At 42.9% G+C, this 3,031-nt stretch overlaps 1 annotated feature.

The window, feature by feature from the left end:
- Nucleotides 1,440–1,613: a silencer, noted in NCBI's record as "fragment chr7:64905072-64905245 (GRCh37/hg19 assembly coordinates)". NCBI's record gives its function as "represses an EF-1alpha promoter that drives an FKBP-Casp9 reporter gene in an ReSE screen in K562 erythroleukemia cells {active_cell/tissue: K562}" and the evidence as "EXISTENCE:reporter gene assay evidence [ECO:0000049][PMID:32094911]".

A 3,031-nucleotide genomic window follows, 5' to 3' on the forward strand; every position in this document is an offset into this window, starting at 1 on the left:
GATCTGTGGGAGCTCACTTAATTTTCAGACTGGGATGACTCATGTGGCATGATAACGAGCTGAGTCTTTGGCAGTATGAGTTAAGGAGGAGGGTGGAAGTGGAAAGAATCATGAGTAGGGCAGATTGGGGTTAGGAAGTAAATCATCCCATTGCATAGTGTTACTGGATGTTCAGAGCCACTCTTCAGCCTGCCCTGTGCCACTGCAGGCTGATCTATATGGATACGTTAATGGGCTCCCTTGCTTCCTGACCCCTGATTATGTTTGGCACCAAATGGAGATCAGCGGGTAGGAGGAGAATGAAGTTGGGGTGTTTATTCCCCAGGCTCTTTCTTGATGGGCCAAGTATTGGCAGTGGCTGCGTCCCTCTACTGAAGATCACAGCTCTTATAAAGCCACCCTCTTCATACTGTTCCCTCTTCTTGGCCCTCCAGGCCTAGAGGGGTAATGGCTCCCTGCTGTTACTATCTCTAAGGTACCACCCCATCTCTTGTGGGGTTCCTATCCTCTACCCACACTTTTCTAAATAGCCTCTTTTTGAAATGCTCCCCAGATTACTCAGTTTGAGTGTGCCATCTGTTTCCTGTCCAGACCTTGATGGATAAACCTAGGTGTTTTTAAACTATATCCCAAGCCCCTAGCACAGTGCTTGGTACATGGTAGGTACGCAGTAAAGATAAGTTAGATCAATATATTAATGAACTTTGATTAGGATAGTGGAGTGGTCCAAAGGACATAGGTAACTCAGGTATAAGTCTGAGTATCATTAGTTCTAGGAGGACCAGTCTGGTAGATGGATCCAGCTTTCAGAAGAAAGCTGGAAAAAATTGAGTAAGTATAGTATTTAGGATCCTAGTCGCAGACTGGGGTTCAAGCAGGGCCCAATTATGTGTATTTAAGGCCAGAAAAAGCAGCAACGCAGAGTTCAACTTAACCATTGGGGTTTTGAGGGGAAAAGAGTATCCTGACTGGTCAACTTAATGTCTGGGATCTATGGTGAAGGGACGACAGAGTCTAATTCACTAGGCTAGCATAGTTTGAGGACTCTAAAGTATTCATTCATGTAAGATATTTATTGAGTTCTTTGTTCTGATTTTGGCACTCATCAAACAATCTTCAGGACCTCACTCAGTTTCCATCATCTTCCTTCTTGGGGAAAGAAAGCACAAAGTAGCCAACAGCTCTCTTTTTCAGTATAAAACAATGAGGGGCTGTGAGTGTAGGTGTTAAGGACATTGGCATTAGAATCAGACAGACTTTATTATAAGAATCCCAACTTGACCAGCTTGGGCAAGTCATAACCTTTCAGAGCCTCTGTTTATTTAAAAACTGAAGGTGGTAATACTACTTTACTCACAGTGTTGCCATGAGTGTTAAATGAGATAATTCATGTAAAGTACTTAGAACGTCTCTTGGCATATACTAAATACATAGTAAATCAATTTTAGTTTATTTTTATTTATTTATTTATTTTTGAGACAAGGTCTTGCTCTGCCGTCCAGGCTGGAGCGCAGTGGCGCAATCACGGCTCACTGCAGCCTTGACCTCCCGGGCTCAAGCAATCTTCCCACCTCAGCCTTTCAGGTAGCTGAACTACAGGCGTGTGCCACCAGGCTTTGCTAATTTTTGCATTTTTGGTAGAGATGCAGTTTCACCATGTTGCTTAGGCTGGTCTCAAACTTCTGGGCTCAAGTGATCTGCCTGCTTCTGCCTCCCAAAGTGCTAGGATTACAGGTGTGAACTACCATGCCCAGCCCCTAGTTTATCATTTATATTAATATGTGTCTTTTTGATTTATCATGGGTCAATCCCCTGAATCTGATTAGCCCTACAGCAACACATAAAATTAAATTTCTAAATGTGCAAAACTGAGAAGGAGCCCCACCACCTGTGGCAGCATCTTCATGGTGCTACTGCAGTCTTTCCCTGCCATATTCCTGGGCCAATCACTAGCACTGGCCAGTGGAGAGCAGTTATCTATCCCCTGGGCTTCCCCAAGCCTTTGGTTCATGCTTCTGTAACAGTGCTTATCACTTTTTATGTGTCCGTTTTACCTACTGGGCAGGGCTAGGCACAAGAATAAGGGCTCAGAAATGCTTGAAATTTTTTTAAAATAAATTTTCATTTGCACACATCTTCCTAGGTCCTCAGCTTCTTCTGAATAATAAGCTGGGCACTTCAGTCAGGATGTTGGGGCACCTGCTTTTCTCCTCTTATTCTGATCCCTATTTCTTCCATCCCCAGACACCTGCCCCCTGCACTGAACAAGTGTTGGAAAGCAAATATGGCAGAAATAAATACCAGTCAAGCAGTGCCTACACTGCAGGGAGCCCATAAAAGGAGAAGGCCCCTCTAAACTGGAAGATATGTTTATTTTACAATTAGCAAAAGGTCAGTAGGCCTGGTATAGAATCCAAGTGTTACTCTGCTGTGTTAGCAAGAATTGTGGGGTTGGGAAGTTACTGCTGGGGATTTGGAATTTTTATTATTAATTCCAGGAAACCAGTGGTTTCTGAGTAATACATGAATCACAGAAAAGTAGTCTGCCATCCTTTGACAAAAAGCTCCTTTTTGGTGACATAACAAGGTCAATAGGTCATGGGAGCTCTTCTGGGTTACCTTAAAATGACCCCTTTTGAGGATGTAACAGATTATTAATTAAGAGCCATATCAAGGAGCTATGGCTAGGCGGGGGCAAGCCTTCAATCTTTGATTTAGAAGCTGGGAATTTTCAGTTCTCTTTAGTCTGCAGAACCCTAAATTGGCCTTACAAAACTCTAATAGGAATATTTGTTTAGCTGTTGCTCTTTTCATCACAAGGAATCATGGGATATCATCCATTCCAGAAAGTTTATTGAGCACCTATTATGTACCAGGTATTGAGCTAGGGTGGATACATACAAATCAAAAAGACCCTGTCCTCAAAGTACTTAAACTCTAGTGGGGCACACAGACATGAAAACAAAAGGATACAATCAATTGTCACAGGTGACATGATGGAGTATGTTCGGCATATTGAGACCTAAAGACT

This window comes from Homo sapiens, chromosome 7, assembly GCF_000001405.40.
Source record: "Homo sapiens chromosome 7, GRCh38.p14 Primary Assembly".
NCBI classification, from domain to species: Eukaryota; Metazoa; Chordata; class Mammalia; order Primates; family Hominidae; genus Homo; species Homo sapiens.